We start from the raw sequence: 21168 nt of genomic DNA, 5'->3' as shown, positions 1-21168 counted from the left end.
GCTGGTCTTGGACTCCTGATCTCAAGTGATCCACCCAATGTGTTGAGATAACAGGTGTGAGCCACTGCACCTGACCCAAACAAATTCTTTTTAACCTAAAGACAAACTGTTCAACTCAGGATAATGGTGTTGGGCACAAGATATTTATAGGGTTTATAAAAACCAATTTATTGTGTATAACATGTGGTGTGGCCTGGTAATAACACAGGAAATCAAAGTTATATGATGAATATCATCATCTTTCAACTATGCGTGTCATCTATATATGTCATATAAGTGTCTTGAAAGTTAAAATTTGAGACCCTGTGATTGTGAGGTCAAGGTCAAATGGCTCTTCTGTGATAGCCCTTAGTGCATTCTATTCATTATTTAAAGGCCAATAAAGTGTTCTTTCCCTCACTTTAGCATAATCAAATGCCAGGAAATGAGCCCTACTGGGCGCTCAGCACACAAAGATAAATAAAACACAACCTCCACTGACAGGGCTCACAGATGACTGAGGAAACAGCCCATCACAACAGCTAACTCTGATTTGGATGATCTTTCTTGCTTTTGCTATCTTTCCATGAGTCTGCTGACTCAAAGCTTATTTCATCTCCTTTCCTTCTCCTTGCTCTTAAATTCTCTACTACTTTTTGAACAAAACTCATACAGCTTGTATTGCTCTCTCTTTTGATGAGAAAATAAATGAAACATTATTATAAATATTTGTTATAAAATAGTAAATGATTATAAACAATTTTAATGCAAAAAATGAGAAAATGCCTTACCTTTTGTTGCAGGCTGTAGAGTACATGGCCTTATGCCTTGCACACTCAACAGAAACGGTCGTGCTGATGGCTATTTTCTGATGTTATGGTTCCTTTTCGACTCCTACATGGCAATAGTTTAAAATGACGTGCACAACCTGCTACCTGTTCCCCAGAGTTGTCTTTCCTTTCTTCCTTTTGGTAATAGAAACTCTATCCTTCAGGTGGCAATGGCTGCTCAGAGAGAAACTGCATTTTCCCGCCTCCTTTGCAGCTAGGTGTGGTGGTCAGAGTAAATTCAGGACAATGAGATATCAGAAAAAGCCATTCCTGGAGCTTTTATGTTGCACCCTAAAACAGAAGCTTCTAGTTAGCTATTATTGCTCTTATTGTCTCTACTTTTGGCAATCTAGGAGAAAAAATTTTACCCCTCTCTGACTCCCAGGGAAGGAGTGCATATATACATATGATCATATCTCTTATCTCCCTCTGTTGTAAGAGACTTCTCTATCTACCAGGCTTCCTGTGGAGCTCATTGAAGTCTTATTCATATTTGCCTCTCTAGTTGTGAGTATACTTGGCACATTAGACTGTCCTATAATGTTTATGAATTAATCAAGGAATACCCTGTACTGTATCATGTTGATTGGTGTCATCTTTCAAAATATTGCAAGAATCATAAGAAAGTATCTTATCTTCGCTAGCATGGTGGCTCATGCCTGTAATCTCAGCACTTTGGGAGGCCAAGGTGAAAGGATCACTTGAGCCCAGGAGTTTGAGGCTGCAGTGTGTGATGATTGTGCCACTCCACTCCAGCCTGGGAGGTGGAGCATAACCCTGTTTCTTTAAAAAAAAAAAAAAAAAAAGTATTTTATCTATTTTTGCCAGTAACTCAAAATTGTTGATAGCAATTGATTATATTTCAATAATTAGCCCTTCCCCACATCCCACTCCATGCCATACGCATTGAAGAATGGACTTCATGTTTCTACCATCCATGAAACATCCAAATATCTAGACATCAGTGACAACCTTTTGTATTCGGCAACTATTCATTAGTGTATGACCATATTCTTCTGCCAATGTTAAATGCACATTTTAGATAATTTGGTAGGTACTTTATAGGAAATTCAGCTTTTCTGAGAAGAAGTGGGTCAGATATGTTCCTTTAAACAAAGGTGATTAGTTTGTGACTGGGAAGAAGATGTCATATTTTAAAGGGATGCTTTGTTTATGGAATTACCGTCAGAATGAAGTAACATTTTGGAGCATCTCTGGGTGACGTGACCCAAAGGAACCACACTGGACACTGCTAGGAGCCATCAATGCCATCTTCCATTTTCTGAACTACTGCAATTTTCCCTGATTTGGGAACCTCAGGCTAATTTTGTTTGGGCTCTGAAAACTGTCTTGGGACACCCTCCATCAGTTGCTATTTATGTGGTAGGAGCATAAACAGAAAGGCCCCTTTTCTCCCCTGAGGCGGGGTGGAAAGAAGAAACAAGGCTCTTGTACTGAAGTGTCACCACGCGCAGCAATCGCTAATCATGGTGGAAATAACGTGGTCTTTTCCTTCCCCCTCATTGCTTTTATATAAACAGCCAAACACAGTGAATCAATTTTTCAAACAAACTTGTAAAATCAGAAAATACAACGACCTTTAACAGTTGGTAGCATGAATTATCAGGGCCTACAAAGAGGTTTTTAACCATTGAAACATGTTGGCAACAGGACAAATGAGTTTTTTTCACCTTCCAACCTGTTAAAAATAGCTTTTATAAACTCTTAACTCCCTCTGATGGTGAGCTTACCATTAATCACCTTTATGACATCTTATATTTAGGCCACGGATAAATCCATGGGTCCTAATCGACCACTTTCCTGAGGAAATTGGCCAAATCCCGACTGGAGGGGGGGATGAATCACAACCACCCTGCTATTCAGACAAATCTCTTTTCAAGTGCTCTTAAAGCCTTTTTTTTTTTCATACACCAGTGAAGACAGCCACACAGGAAACAATAATAGTTTAATCTCTTGAAAAATTTCCTTCCTGCATTGCATTGCTTTCAGACAGGTAGTCAGAGCCAGCCAAGGAAAATTAGCAGTAGCTCCTGCCAAGAGCAGGCTGCTACTTGAGCCTGTTCGTTTCACCGCCTTCCTCTTCCCCGGCTGCAGCCAGGAGCCTACTTGCGCTCCCCAGGACGCTCTCTCCTCCATGGGCCCCCAATGGGTGTTCTTCTGTTCAGAGGTGACCTTAGTGACATTAGGAAAGAGAGAACAACAAGGCGAAGAGCTGCTTGGTGACTCACTGCATGGCTAGACATTTTTAAAGCCTCTTCTTCCTTCTCCTCCTGGAGTTCTCTGGAGCTTCCAGTAGGGAGGACAGTGTGTTATCTGGAGAAACACATCTGGCTCTTGAAAAAATGCAGTTCCTTGCAGCTGGAGCCATTGTAAAGTTGTGTCTCTCCTTTGCTCATGGAAGGCTCCCGTCTGAGTGGTGAGCAATGCAGCCTAGTCGCAAGACCTCTGGGAGTATTTTCATTTGAACAGGGCTCTAAAGAATCAGCTGTTTCTGAGATTTGTGAGATACACAGGTCCACCGGCTTTACCCTTGGCAGGCAGTGCAGGACACCAGCCTTTAAAGTTGCTCAACAATTCTTTGCAGATTTCGTGAGACCCATCATAGACATTATTCCTTAGAGGTTAGGCTGCATTTTTCATGAAGGCCTCAAGCTGCCTCAAAGGAGTTTCTTCTAACAGCAAACTTACTCAACTGTGGACAAAAACAGTCTCAGCTTCCCCACAGGCCACTGACCACAGGCTCGGCTTCCTGGATTGCCCATGCCCATCTGTCCTCTTGACCCCATGGCTACTGTCTTCTCTAACCGTCGACCACATGCAGGCTTCTGCTGTAACACACAAGCCAATGCTTCAGCTCAGAGTTCTGGCTTCTCTTCCAACAGTGTTTTTATTTTTTCCCTTGGCTTTGTAATTTCATGAACAACTTGCAGAGCCCGGACAAAGTTAGTTGCATTTCCATCTCTTGTGTATTTCTCCCTTCCTATGTGTGTGGTATGTATAAAGAAAAAGTAATCTGTTTTATAGAGACTAGAATGAGGAGGGTGGGGGAAGATTCACTGGCCAAACTTCTGATTGGCATAAAAGAAAATGAACAAAATTAGTTATTATAAAAATAGCCCCTCAGAGCCACCCACGGTGTCTGGGAATTCTCTGGAGCTGTTCCCATGCATTTTTAGGCCAAGCAGAAAGTAGATGAAATAGCGCCTGTTTTCATCTCCTTTTCCCTCTATTATCAAGGATAACTGAAAAGTAAGCTCTGTAGTATTTTCCTTAGACAAGTGCGTTAGCTAGCCAGGAATATTTTCACAGCAGTCCAAGTAAGAACATCAGCAATCCATATTCACATAGGAGCTGAGGAAGAGCCCACCCTGTTGTGAAGGAATAGCAAAAGCCTTGAAGATGTTCATCATGGTGTTATTTATCATGTCAATAAATTATTAATGACCTCTTTCCAGCAATAAGGAAGTGCTAAAATCATTGTCTAACATCCATATAATGGACACCATTCACAGCTATGAAAAGACACATTTCCTTTTTTAATTTTTATTTTAGGTTTGGGGGCACATGTGAAGGTTTGTTACATAGGTAAACGTGTCATGGGGGTTGGTTGTACCTATTATTGTGTCACCCAGGTATTAAGCCCAGTACCCAATAGTTATCTTTTCTGCTCCTGTTCCTCATCACACCCTCCCCCTCAAGTAGACCCCAGTGTCTGTTATTTCCTTCTCTGTATTCACAAGTTCTTGTCATTTAGCTCCCACTTACAAGTGAGAACATGCAGTATTTGCTTTTCTGTTCTGTGTTGGTTTGCTAAGGATAATAGCCTCCAGCTCCATCCATGTTCCTGCGAAAGACATGATCTCATTCTTTTTTATGTCTGCATAATATTCCATGGTGGATATGTACCACATTTTCTTTATCCAGTCTGTTATTGACAGGCATTTAGGTTGATTCCATGTTTGCTATTGTGAACAGTGCTGCAGTGAACATTGGCATGCATGTGTCTTTATGGTAGAATGCTTTATATTCCTCTGGGTGTATTCCCAGTAATGGGATTGCTGGGTTGAATGGTAGTTCCACTTTTAGCTCTTTGAGGAATCACCATACTGCTTTCTACAATGGTTGAACTAATTTAAATTACCAACAGCAGTGTATAAGGTTCCGTTTTTTCCACAACCTCGCCAAGATCTGTTATTTTTTTGGAAAAGTCACATTTTTCAAAGAAAGCTAAATTAATGGCAGATACTCTTATACTAAGTGAAAGAAAAGTAGGATGTACTGTTTATACTATTTTCCAATTTAAGTGTATTTATTGGAGAAAAAACTTCCGGTTAATGAAATTGTGAGTGATTTTAATTTCATTTTTATAACTTTCTATTAATAATTTCTAAAATGTTTTTAATGCAAGATGTTTTTAAGTAGTCATATAGGCATTATTTCTGACTGTATCACTACAACCAATTTCACTTTTCTGGAGCCTTGAATTTCTCTTGAATTGTCTTCGTTTCTCATGACTTTGTCCATGGAAGTCTATGTAATATTTTTTTTTTCTTTGAGACGGAGTCTTGCTCTGTCACCCAGGCTGGAGTACAGTGGCATGATCTGCGCTCACTGCAAGCTCCGCCCGTGGGTTCATGCCATTCTTCTGCGTTAGCCGCCCGAGTAGCTGGGATTACAGGCGCCCACCATCACGCCTGGCTAATTTTTCAAAATTTTTAGTAGAGACGGGGTTTCACCGTGTTAGCCAGGATGGTCTCGATCTCCTGACCTTGTGATCCACCTGCCTTGGCCTCCCAAAGTGCTGGGATTACAGGTGTCAGCCACCGTGCCTGGCCTTATTTTTTATTTTTTATTTATTTATTTATTTTTGAGATGGAGTCTCACTCTGTCACCCGGGCTGGAGTGCAGTGGTGTTATCTCAGCTTCCTGCAACCTCCGCCTCCCAGTTTCAAGCAACTCTCATGCCTTAGCCTCCCGAGTAGCTAGGGATTACAAGTGCATGCCACCACACCCAGCTAATTTTTGTATTTTTAGTAGAGGGGGGGTTTCACCATGGTTGGCCAGGCTGGTATCCAATTCCTGATCTGAAGTGATCTGCCCGTGTCGGCCTCCTAAAGTTCTGGGGTTACAGGCGTGAGCCATCACACCTGGCCGTAATTTTTTTTCTGAGCTTTCTTTAGCCTTTTTCAAATTCACTCTCCTGCCTGGCTGTGAAACTCCAAGGTGATGGTAGAAGCTTTCTTCTGTATTTCTGCCACTTCTACTCTCCCAGAGATGGTTTATCTTGGTTAATCAGAACTTCATCCTAGGTAGCATTTCTCATGGTCTCCTCTACATTCGGATAGAAGAAGTTATCACCAAAGAGAGTGAAGAACGCCTCAGATGTGCTGCTTTCTAGAACAGTCAGCAGGTGAAAGTTCGCCTGCTCCGTGCCTCTTGCGTGGCCTCTGAGTTACATCAGGCCAGACTCTTCTTCCACACATTCCCCCGTTCCCCCGGCCTTTGTTCTATCCACATACTTCCCCCGTGACATCTTGGCAAACCTTCTGCTAATTATTTCTCTCTTGTATTCTACTCTGCTTACACCTGAGGTTGGCTGTTTCCTCTTACATATGCCAGATCCCATCCCTGTCCCCAGGACATTGAAGTACAGTCCTCTGTTCTTCCTGCGTGTCTGTCATCACGTTGACCATCTTGTAGGGGAACCCTTAGTCTGACTCCCTCCTCAAGGGCAGAGATCACTTCTGATTTAGCCCTCCAACCCCAGTGTGTAACATAGCACTCACTTTATTTTATCAATATATTATATTTGTACATATTTATGGGGTGCATGTGAAATTTTATGACATGCATAAATGTGAAATGATCAAGTCAGGGTTTTTGTATATTCATCACCCAAGTATTTCTCATTTCTGTGTGTTGGGAACATTTTCGTTCTCCCTTCTAGTTATTTTGAAATATACAATACACTGTTGTTAACTGTAGCCACCCTACTCTGCTATGGAACACTAGCACTTATTCCTTCTATCTAACTGTATGTTTGTACCCATTAACCTACCCCTCTTCATGCCCCCGCCTCCCACCCACACACCCTTCCCAGTCTCTGGTATCTATCATTCCACTCTCAACCTCCATGTGCTCCCCTTTTCTTAGCTCCCACCTATGAGTGAGAACATGCAATATTCATCTTTCTGAGCCTGGGTTATTTCACTTAACATAATGACTTCCAGTTCCATCCATGTTACTGCAAATGACAGGATTTTATTCTTTTTCGTGGCCAAATAGTGTTCCACTTTGTACATATACCACCATTTCTTTATCCATTCATCTGTTGATAGACACTTAGGGTGGTTCCATATCTTTGCTATTGTGAGTGGGATATACATGGGAACACAAAACCTCATTTTGGTAGGCAGTCAGCACAGTGATGTGAACTGGATACTGCCAGCTGTAGTTTTGATTTCCTAAAGTGCAGGATTAGTTTATTTAAAAGGTGCTTAGTCCTGATGTGGTTCCTATCACATCAACTTTCAGTGGTCTTATTTAACTCCTTTCACTAAAAGTCTCATGTTTTCTTTATTAGTTATACCAGGTGCATTGGTTTCTAGTTGCTCCTATTTATTTTCTCTAATTCTCTCAGGTCACACTTACCTAATGATTTTCATACAGAATGACACAGATATTATGCCGAATGGATTTGCTTGTATAGTTTTATTTGGGGAGTTTTCTTCTTTCTCAATTTGTATTTGAAAGCTTCTGGAAGGAGGAAGGGTAGAGATGAGGTAGGCAGAAAAAGAGAGAGCCAGAGAAAGGCACAGGGAGAGGGAGAGAAGGAAGGGAGGGAGAGGGATTTTATGCACCCTGAGAACAATGAGAAGCCTTATCTAACTGTGCTCACAGATGGGTTTTGACACCAGGTAAAGGCAAGAACATCAAGGAACAAAACAGTCAGGGAAAAAGTTACGTTGACTCAAAAGTTTTTTTAAAAAAAGAAAACATTGAATTAATGATGCTGCATCATTGAAGATGTCTTTGGATAGTGGCGTCACTATATACGTGTCTCCTGAAACAATAAAAATAGGCAAAGTTAAGATCTTTGAGAGGTATTTTATTTATTTATTTATTTTAGATGGAGTCTCACTCTTCTTGCCCAGGCTGGAGTGCAATGGTGCGATCTCGGCTCACTGCACCCTCCACCTCCAGGGTTCAAGCGATTCTCCTGCCTCAGCCTCCTGAGTAGCTGGGATTACAGGCACCCACCACCACGCCTGGCTAATTTTTGTATTTTTAGTAGAGACAGGGTTTCACCAAGTTGGCCAGGCTGGTCTCGTACTCCTGACCTCAGGTGATCCGCCCACCTCGGCCTCCCAAAGTGCTGGGATTACAGGTGTGAGCCACCGTGCCTGGCGGAGAGGTATTTTAAAGGCAACACGAGGGTTTGTCTTCTGGACACATGGAAGTCTGAATGTCCTGGATCTGATGTTTGATAAGATACCTCTTCACTTTCCATAATTGGAAAGGAAATTCTGATGGAGGAATCAAATAAAATTCATAACAAACAGGACATAATTGAATGGCAAGCAGAGAGGTAGTCACCCTTCGACAAATGTCTGTCTTAGTGCCAGCACTCTTCTGGAGGCTTGTAGCTGTAGTCAGATGAGCCCCGCTATGCCTGGCTTAACTTCATGAAAGTTTTATGACTTAATAAACAAGGTGTGGTAGGAGCCAGAGTGAGACTCAGGCTGGTCGAGCCTTGCCTAAGCACTCAGGAACAGGATCATGTGAAACAATACCTTGCCCAGGTCACGGCTACGTCAGGTATCAGCACTTTGCTTATTTCCGGCCGAAGCCCAGGTGAGTCAGAGAAAGTTCACGTACCTCTGTCCTTTATTCCACCCCACTTCTGCGTTTAGTTGTGGAGGGAGACTCTGGCCTGGAAGACTCAGAGGACTGACCGTTCTTGAAAACACGAGAAGTCATAATCCGATTTGTGTGAATGTTGGTTCTCTGCTTGGGGAACGGTGAGGGAGGGAAGGTGGCATTCACACTGGAGAGGTGGTCGGGGCCAGCATTCTTCTCTTGCTGTCTATCCTCTGTCCCTAAGTGACCCACGCTTCTAAGATTGCTCTGAGAGCATACCGTGTGTTCATCAATGTGTTCATTTTTCTCTTGATCACACAGGAGACCATATTTCAGGCCTCCTTATTCTCTGTCAACTGGACATGGTCCACGGAGAACTCCAAAGACCAGAGGATGATGGAGCCTCTAGGAGGGAGGGCCCAGGGCTTCTGAATCACCTTGTGGAAGGATGCTGCTGAGTATCTCATCAGACTGTGCTATGACTGGGGGATGAATCTTCATTAGGTGACACTACTGAGAAGTGGGGTTGTTTGCTACAGTGGTAAGACTGTCTGACCAATACAAGGTGGCTGCAAAATCTGACTTTCCAAGGGCCCACATACCTGCCTTATTTTGTGCCTCAGCCTTCTCATTTATAAAATGGGATACGACAGTACTTACATCATAGGGATGTGATGAGGTAAAGTATTTAAAGTCGGACCTGATACTTGGTGAAATGTTAGCCACTACGCCTATTACTGGTGCTATGAGACTATTACTACTACTACTTCTATAACCTCTACTACAGCACCCTCCCTATTATAGCTGTGGGGCTTTCTTTTGAGACTGGAAAGCCCATGAGATAAGTGGTTGCTTGTTTTCCATGAAAGCCAGCCGTGGATCTCCTGCTTCCCAGAGAGGGGAAAATAGATTTCTTGATCAGAATCTATGTGAAGTATGAGCTAAGCCAACCGAACAAATCTTAGGTCCTGCCACCCAGGGATTATGTGCAAGGAAATGGCACATTGTCTATTGTTATGGAAGCCGAACACCACCTGATGATTCATAATGGATTTAGAGGGGAGAGATCATTTTGGGTTATGAGAAAATTGTTGAAGATTTTATGGAGAAAATCAATTAGTTGCTTAGTCTATCCAGTTCATTTGACGGGGGTGAAAAGAACAAATGCTGAACATGGCCCCAGAAATTTAATAGCAACCATGGAGTAAACTTGACTTTTCAATAGGGGTTTGCCTTATGAAGCTTAGACAATGGGATTGTAAACAAAGGCAATATCGCATCTGTAGTGACATCCAGGCCACTCAACCAGGATAATTTGAATTGTTCTAACTGGCTAACAGATGAAGGTTGATGTCTGGGTCTTAGGATGGTGCAGTTGAGAAGTTGAGTGTGGTAATTAAGAATGTGGTCTTTGAAGTCAAATTTCCTGGGTTCAAATTCAGTGGCTTACCAGTTGCATGACCTTGGGCAAGTTACTTATTCTGTCTGGGCTTTGATTTCTTCATTTGTATTATAAACTGGAAGTAATCATATACTTCTCTTACAAGGTTGTTGTGAGGATTAAATGAGTTAACACATTTCAGTGGCTTAGAATAGAATGATATTGTGAAAGGAAATTAAATCTTGGGACCCCAAACTCATTAAGCCAAAGGGAAAAGTGGAGCTAGGGACGGGGTCACCCAAACCTGCCTCCCCGTTTTTCATTCCTAAATAAGATGGCTACAAGATGAAAAGCTACATGTCTCCCCCATATTTTGCCTACAAGTAAATTCCTGGTGAGCTGCAAGATCTTTACTCTAAGGTGTTTCTGTTAAAATTTCACCATGGCAATGCAAATTGATAGCTTATCTTTACAGGTGCAGCCATCCTCCTGCCCAACTGACCCAAATGCCTATCTGATTATTTCCCTGCCCCATTTTGTCTATGTTATCTTATGTAAAATGCAGATTGCCTGCCTTTTTCCTCTGCCTTATTTGTCTATGTCATCTTACATAAAAAAAATGCAGATTTATTGAGCCAGACAAAGGCACGAATGACTAATTTTTCCTAGCCCCCTCTTACGTGAAAATTGTGTACTTTGCAATATCCTGCCCTTTCCCCTTTAAATTTGGAGCCCTCAGAATCATCTTTGGAGAAAGGCATAGACCTGTCTCCCAGGCTCGCATTCTTACCTTTGGCAAATAAACTTCCTAAAATGATTGAGACTTGTGTTGTCATTTTTCTCAATTGACATCACTAATGATTATTGTTATAATAAAATATTGTTTAGTACCTTGGTCTGCAGCGTAGCCATCTATTTCGAAGGGGGTTTTAAGTTTTGTAACATTGAGAGAGAAATTCAAAGCTTCATGCCTTTGAGCGTCAATCCCAAGGAGTTCCCCCTAGAGGTCTGGCATAGAAATGTGTTTGCCTCACCTGTAATTCCAGCACTTTGGGAGTCTGAAGCGGGCGGATCACCTGAGGTCAGGAGTTTGAGACCAGCCTTGGTAAACCTCGTTTCTACTAAAAACACAACAATTAGCCAGGCGTGGTGGTGGGCACCTTTAGCCCGGTGACTTGGGAGGCTGAGGTAGGAGAATCACTTGAACTCGGGAGGCAGAGGTTGCAGTGAGCCAGGATCACACCATGGCACTCCAGCCTGGGCAACAGAGCAAGTCTCTGTCTCAAAAAAAAAACAAAAAAAAAAAACAAAAATCAAAAACCAAAAACCAAACCAAACCAAAACAAAAAAAAATGAAAGAAAAGAAATGTGTTTGCCTGATTCAGTGGTGGCTCCAGGAGCAGCACGAGGAGGCAGAGTGCTCAGGACCAAGAGGATGCAACACACCATTTCCAAGATACTCATTTTCACCCATTTTGTCTGTGGATTTTTTGAGCCAACCTGGCTGACCTTTGAAGCTATTTCCTGATCAGGAAGACTGGAGAGATAAGAATGAGGCTGAGGACTGGAGTACAGTAGGCATCTATGATGCTGACCTGTCTCAGAAGATGGGAAGAAGCCACCTAGATGTGTGGATAATTATTTTCCCGAAATTAATTTTTTACCTGTTTTTTTCCCCCTTTTGTCTCTCCGCTTTCCAACTTTTCTTTAAAACATAATTTCAAACTGTAAGGTGTATATTTGTTAAACTTCTAGTGTGGAACTCATTTCAAATTACAGAAAAATTGCAATAGTAAAAATATTGAGAAGCACAACAAATACCCTTTATCCAGAATCACCTGTTGTGGACATTTTATTCCATTGGCTTTATCATTTGCTCTCTCTTTCCATACATACACATATACATGTATGCATAACATAGAAAAAATATATTTGTCTCCTTTGCAAGCAAGTTGCGTACACCATGGCCCTTTACCCCTAAATCCCTCAGAGTGTATTTCCTAAGACTAGGAATATTTATTCTTTTGCACAGCTGTAGTACGCTTATCAACTTTGGTAAATTTTGCCTCAATATAATACTCTTATTTACTGTCCATATTCCAGTTTTGTTAATTGACCCAACAATGTACTTATAACACTTTTTTTCCTTCAATAAGGACTCAGTCTAAGATTGTATTTAGTTATATGTCTCTAGTCTCTGTAAGGTATATTTTTTAAAGGGCAGAGCACTTTCAAGCACTAAAAGGATAATCTGTTTTTTTTTTTTTTTTGGAGACAAAGTCTCACTCTGTGGCCCAGGTTGGAGTGCAATGGCGCGATCTTGGCTCACTGCAACTTCCACCTCCCCGGTTCCAGTGATTCTCCTGCCTCAGCCTCCCGAGTAGCTGCGATTACAGGTGCCTGCCACCACGCCCAGCTAATTTTTGTGTTTTTAGTAGAGACGGGGTTTCACCATGTTGGTCAGGCTGGCCTTGAACTCTTGACCTCAAGTGATCCACCCGTCTCGGCCTCCCAAAGTGTTGGGATTACAGGCATGAGCCACCATGCCTGGCCAATCTTCCTTTCTTGCTCTTAATAACAGGAGCAAACACACTTGATCTACTTATGATATTCAATGCTCTAATTAAGAAAAAATAAAATGTTCATATCTTAAAAATGGCTAACTTTTTTGGGGTGCTGTTTAGAGGTGTTTAATTTTTCTAAGTTATCTAAAGTTTCTATTCTGGTGCTTCTGTTGCTATAAACTTCTCAAGGACAAGTGTTCTCTTCCTTCCTCAAGTTTAATTTGAAAAATGTGCAGTCACCAGCAAATGGAATTACAGGGAAATCTTTTAGTGTACAGATGGGAAAGCACACCCTTTTGGAATTCAGATTGAATCTGTGCTTTCCCAGGTTTGGTTTTCTCAGACAAATGCCACCTATTTTTACACAGGAAAAATTCTACCAGCAGTTATAAGTACCTCTCAAATTTTGGGCACAGCAAAGAAATTATAGTTGATCCTTGAACAATGTGGTGATTAGGGATGCTGACCCCCCTCCTCCACCAATGCAGTTGAAAATCCATGTATAACTTCACCAATAGCCTGCTCCTCAAAAACTTAACCAATAGCCTACTGTTGGCTGGAAGCCTTGCTGATAACACAGACAGTCAATTAGCACATATTTTGTATGTTATATATATATATTATGTACTGCATTCTCACAATAAAGTAAGCTAGAGAAGAGAAAATGTTATTAAGAAAAAGGTGGATGAAATACATTTACTATTCATTGAGTGGAAGTGGATCATCATAAAGGTCTTCATCTTCATCATGTTCATGTCGAGTAGGCTGATAAGGAGGAGGAAGTGGAGGGGTTGGCCTTGCTGTCTCAAGAGGGGCAGAGGCAGCAGAGATGGAGGAGGTGGAAGGGAGGTCAGGAGAGGAGGCATGTTCAGTGTAACTTTTACTGAAAAAGAGTCTGTATAAATGAACCTGCATAGTTCATACCCATATTGTGCAAGAGTCAACTGTACTGGAAAAACAAAACCCATAAAATCTCTTCCAAAGTGTTGAGCAAAGACATGGGAAACAATATTAAGGTTCGAGGTCTCTCTTTTCATTGGCAATAGCTTCTTTGGCTGTTTCTTCCACTCTTTATAACAGACTTCTTTAGAAGGGACCAGGGACTTTTTAGATTCAGCTTGCTACATGTTTTTATGAATTCCATAAACAGAAAGGGATGTGTGCATGGGTGGGAGAGGAGGGGAAAAAGAGGTAGAAGAGTGGTGGTCGTTCGCAGGAAGGCTTCTCTGACTGCTAAGAATGTATGAAATACTGCTCATAATAGTCACTATGCAAACTTAAATACACCTCAGTTAGCAATGAGCAATTTACCACACATTGGCTTCCAAACGTTGGCTTTCTTCAGAAGCCAACATATAGTAAATTGGAATGAGGTAGTTGAGGAGAGCAGGCTCTGGAAAATAAGGTGAATTATGGAGGGGAGATGGAGGAGGGTTAAGGGAAGGGTTCCTTTGCAATCTTTCAAAGTTTACTTGTTTCTTGAAGCCGTTATCAGTTTATCATTTATAAAAAAGGTAGAACTATAATAGGACCAAAAATGGGCTGTGTAGGGAGGATGCTAGCTTCCTCTTCAGAATGTGTGGAGTCACCTATAGTTCCAGCTACTTGGGAAGCTTAGGTGGAATGATCGCTTGGGCCTTGGGTTCAAGTCCAGCCTGGGCAACAGAGACCCTGTCTCTCTTTTTTTTCTTTTTTGTAAGAGAATTTAGGATGTGTGGAGTTAATGGTTATGTGGTCTAGCAGAGAATATGTTTCTGAGAATAAGAAAGAAAAACACCAGGGAAACTGGTGTTTGAATCTCGGATCAAGTTGAAGGTAGTCTGAAAAGCAAGGAATGTTCTAGAACCTCAAGTCTAAGGGAGTGGAGAGTAAAAATGAAATCCAAGTTGAGGTGAAGATGGAGTCTTTTATCACTGACTCGTCAGTGGCTGTGGGCAAGGAGGAGGGTAGGATGGTGCAGGGAGAGCTATAGGATAACGTTTCTGTTCTCCCTGAAAAATGCTGAGGTTTTCCAGTTCTCTAGCTGCAGAAATTAGTCCTCTGGGATATAATGTGGATGAACTGCTGACTTTCAGTGCACAAACTCATTTCTATTAGAAAGGAATGGCAGCTTTTACGTAATCCTTCTGAGTGGCCATTTTGTATGCATAGGATGGTTCAACTCATGGGTAATGCAGACTTTGAATATTTGCTTTAGGAAATGGCTGTAAAGGAGAAGAAGGTCTTGTAAGGCCTCTCATGTCCATTTCTGGGGCTCACAGTCTGGTTTGGTGTGGAAACACCTAAGTATGCTCTTTTCGCAGCTTCTTAACAAACAACTCTTAGTAGCTCCAACCTCTTGTGGAAATTAAGCTTAACATTGAATAAGTTAAGCAAGTGAGATGTAACCATAGTCAGCAAACCGTTTTTCCTGGGTAACTTGTATAAATTAATTTGATTATTTTGTAGACTGACTTCATAAGAAATCAGGAGCTGGAATTCAGGTCCACATTATTCATGATGTGTAATATAATTGAGATTAAAGATTAAATTTTAGTCTTAGTAAACGTTGAAGATGTAGTTAGATACCATAAAACCAGTCATGTTTAATGATCCCCAGCATTTTTTTCAGTCTCTCAGTATGTATGTGAGAGGGAACTGTGAGCTAAAAATAAATAAAACCTCACTTGTCACATGACAGCTAACAGCATCCATCCATTTCCAGAATGGCAACTTTTGTATCTCGATTTTAATAATTCATGAAAGAGAAGAGGTGTGGTTCCTTCAAAAGCAGGTGAAGTGGACCCTTATCAGCCCATCAATTCCTTTTCCTGCTGGGACTCACAGATTGATGGCAACAGTGAAACTTCAGTTAAACTTCTGTAGTTTCATAAAATAAAGTTTGATGTTTACATAATCATGTGGGTTGTTTTTAACCTTTTTCGTTAGAATTTTGTGGAACGAATAATGCACATAGCAAATAAAATTTAATTTACAAGTTTATCTGGTTGATCAATGTATAAAGATAAATTACACATCTATATTAGATTTAACTCTATAAAATGGACATATTTAGGTAAAAAACAGCCAGCTATTACTAGTTTCATAAGTTACGAATTAAAACACATACTTGCAAACATATTGCATTTCTACTTATCAAAAAATAATAATGGAACATAGTGCAATTATAGTAAGATAGATTGCAAATAATAACTTTTATAATAAAACACTAAACAAACTAATTTGTAGAGTACTCAAGGAAAGTCATTTTTCTTCTGTATGTAGGTAATGTGTTTTCTATCAGGGAATTGGGGTATGGGTTGCTATGGACCAAATTGTGTTCTTCAGAATTCCTGTGTTGAAGCTGTGAATTACTGTGTTTGGATGTAGGGCTTTTAGGAGGTTAAGGTTTAATGCAGTCATAAGGGTGGGGTCCTACTCTGATAGGATTGGCGGCCTTCAAAGAGGAAAGAATATTACTCAGCCATAAAAAGGAATGAATTAGTGGCATTTGCTGCAACCTGGGTGAGATTAGAGACTAAAAGTGAAGTAACTCAGGAGCAGAAAACCAAACATCATATGGTCTCACTCATAAGTGGGAGCTGAGTTATGAGGATGCAGAGGCATGAGAATGACACAGTGGACTTTGAGGACTCGGGGGAAAGGGTGGGAAGGGGGTGAGGGATAAAAAACTACAAACTGAGTGCAGTGTATACTGCTTGGGTGATGGGTGTATCAAAATCTCACAAATCACCACTAAATAACTTAGTCATGTAACCTATGGGAAAAAAAAAAGAATAGCTTTTTGCTCCTGATTCACCACTGTTCACTCTCGCCAACGAACAAGTCGGTCAAGAAGCTGCACTGCAGCCATGGCTTTTAAAGATCCCAGAAAAACACCCATGGAGCTGGAGGTGGTGATTTGCTGAATTCGAATCACGCTAATGAGCTGCCACATAAAATCTCTGGAGAAATGTGTGCTGACTTGAACAGAGGAGCAAAGGAAAAGAATCTCGAAGTGAAAGGACCAGTTAGAATGCCTACCAAGACTTTTGAGAATTACTACAAGAAAAACTCCTTGAGGTGAAGGTTCTAAGACATGGGATCATTTCCAGATGAAAATCCACAAGCCACTCATTGACTCGCACAGCCCTTCTGAGATTGTTGAGCGGATGACTTCCATCAGTATTGAGCGAGGACTTGAGGTTGAAGCCACCATTGCAGATACTTAAGTCAACTATTTTAATAAATTGGTCACCAGTTAAAAAAACAAGAGAAAGATACACCAGAGATCTCCCTCTGTCTGTGTGGGCAGGCCCTGAGGAAAGGTTACGTGAAGACATGGTGAGGACTTGCCATTTACAAGCCAGAAAGAGAGCCATTACCAGGAACCTGCTCTTAGACTTCTGACCTCCAGAACTGTGAGAAGATAAATCTCTGATGTTTAAGCGATTGGGTCTGTAGTATTTGCTATGGCAGCCAGAGCAGACTAAGACAGGGATAAGGAGGAGGTAGTTGAAGTCAGAAGGCCATCCTAGGGGCTGTTGCATCTGAGCAAGCAAAATGTGTAAATAGATTTTCCTCTATGAGTAATGCGGAGGGGTTGTATGGAGCTGAGGGGATGTGGGAAGCAGCTTTGTGCTGGGAGCACACGTGCAAAGGCTGGTGAGTTTGGGGAACTACAGGCAGTCCAGTATTTCTACAAATTAAAACTCAGAGGAGGCTGGGTCTTGGAAAACCTTGCATGCCCCTATGGAATGTGAATCAGCTTCTACCATGGTCCTGATAGCTTCCATTTATGGGTCTACCGGAAGGCTGCATTGGTCTTTGTTAAGCTGTGAATGCTGAGGCAGAGTGTGAGTGACAAAGGGGCTGAGTGAGAACTGAGCTTCCAGTCACCCCCACATCCATCTCTCAGGCCTGGAGCTCTCCACAAGTTGATGGTGTAAGCAACAGAGAGTTGGTGAAGGGTAGATACTCCTAGGGTGCAGGTAAAAGGCAGTGAAGGGACTGCAATCCCATTCCTAATTCTATACTGAAGACGATGTGATGGGGATAGAGAGCAGAGGACAGGCTCAGGTGACTTTAGGTGATCTGTTCAGCAAGAGATGGACAGGACTTGGACTGTGCGGGAGGGATCATTTAAGGGAAGGAGTCCAGGATAACTCCCAGGTCTCTGTCTGGTTTCACATGTGGGGAGGAAGCAAAGAAATTGGCCTGAAGTAGTGACATTTTTTATCTTGGTGGACATCTGGAAGGCAATTCAGTCTAGGACTTGCAGAGAGGTCTTGGCAGACAAATGGGCTTAAGGGCAACCTTGCTTCATTTCCCATTGCTCCTAAGTTTTAGCTTACTTTCTGGTAGATTCTACAGATGGAAGATAGTAGGATCACAGCAGGAACTAACTCTCTATCTTGTCCACTCCAGGTCACAGGAATCTGCATTTAGGTTTCCCTTAAGGCAAAATTGGTGGTGTCATGTGAGAGGGGTTGGGGGGGGGAAGAAGGGAATGTTCAGTGACTTAAATACTTAGGAACACATCAGCCAAAATGGTGTGGTGTGGTAGGAATTTAAATTGTGCTTGCGCAGCTTGCCATGCTGGTCTGAACTTTCAGCAGAGTGCCTTGGATTGAAAAATAACACACATGTTGTGGGCAAGGCACTTTTATGGACTTGGAAGGAATGACTATGCTTTCTACATATCTAAAGAATTAGAATTTAGGCTGGGTGCAGTGGCTCATGCCTGTAATCCCAGCACTTTGGGAGGCTGAGGTGCTCAGATCACGAGGTCAGGAGATAGAGACCATCCTGGCCAATATGGAGAAACCCCGTCTCTACTGAAAATACAAAAATTAGTCATGCATGGTGGTGCGTGCCTGTAATCTCAGCTACTTGGGAACCTGAGGCATGAGAATCGCTTGAACCCAGGAGGTGGAGGTTGCAGTGAGCCGAGATCTCACCACTGCACTCCAGGCTGGCGGCAGAGCAAGACTCAGTCTCAAAAAAAAAAAAAAAAAAAAGGAATTAGAATTTAAGCCCACTTGTAGCATTATAATTTATTATACACATAGAGTCACTAAGACTAACAGGAGTCCCTAACCTCAGGAGCTTAGGTAGAGCACAAATGGGCACACCCCAAATCAGAACAAACTCATGGAGGGGCTGGGCCTCCAAAATTGTTATTGCTGCAGCCTATCATGAAGCAGCTGGGTTTCAGAGGCAGTGATGAGTTCCCAAATTGGATAAAGAGAGCTATGAACATTGACTGGCAATACTTTGGAAGCCTAGGATGACTGTTCAGCCAGCTAGGACAGGAGCAGACCCTGTGAGATGTGTGGAAAAGGATCCTTGAAAAGATGGTGCTATGGTTTGGCTGTGTCCCCACCCAAATCTCATCTTGAATTGTAACTCTCACAATTCCCACACGTCATGGGAGGACCCCAGTGGGAGGTGATTGTATTAAGGGGGCCGATCTTTCCTGTGCTGTTCTCATGACAGTGAATGAGTCTTACAAGGTCTGATGGTTTTAAAAACAAGTTTCTCTGCACAAGCTCTCTCTTTGCCTGCTGCCATCCGTGTAAGATGTGTCTTGCTCCTCTTTGCCTTCCATCATGATTGTGAGGCCTCCCCAGTCACGTGGAACTGTGAGTCCAATTAAACATCTTTCTTTTGTAAATTGCCCAGTTTCAGGTATGTCTTTATCAGCAGTGTGAAAACAGGCTAACACAGATGGGATAAGGGAGAGGGAGCTGGAGGTTTAGAAACAGTGCTATGGATGGAGGTCTGAGCAGGGAGGAGGATGGATGGAGAACAATCCTGTTCAGAGGAGGGCGACAGGGAGTTGTGGTTCCTGAGGAGGGGCAGGGAGTCAGGGAGGATGCTGGTTCCACCGTGGAAAGCAACAGGGCAGGGAAAGGAGATCCGACCCCCTCTTGAATGAGGCTGGACACTCCTAGCCAGTGTAGCCACAAGGAGAGAGGTGAGAGGAAGCCTGGGGGAAATAACCTGAATATTTGAGGGATGAGCCTAAGAAAAGATATATGAGGTGAGATTTTTAAAGGTGAAGAAAGATCAGAGAGATTATGGACCTAGGATGGCAAATGCAGCAGTACGTGTTTGCTTTCTCCTTGGGCAGAAATAGAAGGAAAAAAATCTCATGGATCCTAGAATAGTATGCATTTGCTAATTAAAGGCAAAAATGGCCTCTGGGAAGGGAACTCTGAAATGCACGGATTGCAAGTGAGATGATGGTGAGGAACTATTAGTATTTAGGAACTCTCTGAAACTTTGAGAGATAAATTGGATTTGTTCAGGTATGGAGGACAGGAGTTTAAAGGTCCAGGGACAAGTGGAATCCATCCAGCCATTTTTGTACAGGAGGAGGAAGAATAAAGAAGTAGGGTCACAAAAATAAATAAGTAGGAGTTCAGAAAGTTAAGGAGGCTGGGTACAGTGGCTCACGCCTGCAACCCCAGCACTTTGGGAGGCCAAGACAGGAGTATTGCTTGAGGCCAGGAGTTCAAGACCAGCCTGGGAAATATAACAAGACCCCATCTCTATTAAAAAAAAAAAAAGTGAAAGAAAAGATCACAATACAGGGAAAAGTGAGCTAAGAATCCCGGCATTAGAGAGCCCTTGATGTGGTCCTGAATCGGCTATTTCTATCTGTTCCCTGAGCCTAACCTCAGCGCTGGCCTCTCTAAACCTCTTTTCAGTCCTCTCATTTTGAAAACAGGGCCCATTACACATTCTCTGAAAGCTTGCTGAGTGATTTAACCACATAGTCTAGGGGAGGCACTCATCAAACATAAGGCCTCTCTTTTTGATTTTTATCCTATAGTGGTATCTATCTAGAGGCTGGTGAAGACAGTGTGGTGGAAGGAAAGTGGGAAGGATACACTGAAATAGGACATAGACGTAGAGGGGAGTCGATGGTCATCTGGCTTGATAGGGAAAGTTAGAGAGCTCTCCTGAACCACAGTTACAGAGCTTGGGATTATAACACACACAGCCCCAGAGAAAACACTTTGTTTACCATATTTCCTCTTCTGCTGGGGCTCTGGCACCTTAATTGGTCAAAAGGCAGCAAAGATCCGCAAAGCCTGTTCTGAATTTATCCAGGTCTATGCATGAACGGCTTCCTTCTCCCACCTTCCTTTGCAAGGTCCAGCTATTAATTACACTAAGTGACAAAGATTCTCCTTGTTGCATGATGGACACAAGGATGAATCTTTGTTACTGACTGCAAATAACAGAACGAGTGGTGACCAAGAGTCAGGCTGGGAATACACGCTTCAAATCACGCAATGGGCATATGGCACTTTCTTCTGAAATGACACAAGAGGCTGCAGAGAAACAGAGTGGGTATTATTTTGTTAACTTCCTCCTATGAAAATAGAGCCTCCGTCCTTTTTTTTGCTGGTTCATTTCTGGCACTGGAACAAACTGTCTCTTTACATTAGTTCAGTTCTGCAGAGAAACGCTCACTTAGAAGGAAATCGTTGGAAAATCCAGGCAAGAATCCATTTTTTAAAGTCACCACTGAATGATTGCT

General features: G+C 42.2%; 1 non-coding gene and 1 pseudogene across 1 annotated transcript, besides 1 other annotated feature; one reads left to right on the top strand and one right to left on the bottom strand.

Annotated features, from left to right (window-relative positions):
• Positions 8089-9288: an enhancer, noted in NCBI's record as "P300/CBP strongly-dependent group 1 enhancer chr21:37104597-37105796 (GRCh37/hg19 assembly coordinates)". NCBI's record gives its function as "activates an origin of replication core promoter dependent on BRD2, BRD4, P300/CBP, MED14 and CDK7 cofactors, with strong dependence on P300/CBP, by STARR-seq in HCT116 cells {active_cell/tissue: HCT116}" and the evidence as "EXISTENCE:reporter gene assay evidence [ECO:0000049][PMID:35650434]".
• Positions 16421-16879, top strand: RPS20P1 (ribosomal protein S20 pseudogene 1; annotated as a pseudogene).
• On the bottom strand, positions 20779-20872 carry MIR802 (microRNA 802). The gene has a single exon (NR_030414.1). It is a non-coding gene; the product is annotated as a microRNA 802 (primary transcript).

This window comes from Homo sapiens, chromosome 21 (genome assembly GCF_000001405.40).
Source record: "Homo sapiens chromosome 21, GRCh38.p14 Primary Assembly".
NCBI lineage: Eukaryota > Metazoa > Chordata > Mammalia > Primates > Hominidae > Homo > Homo sapiens.
This window is presented reverse-complemented; position numbering and strand designations above follow the sequence as displayed.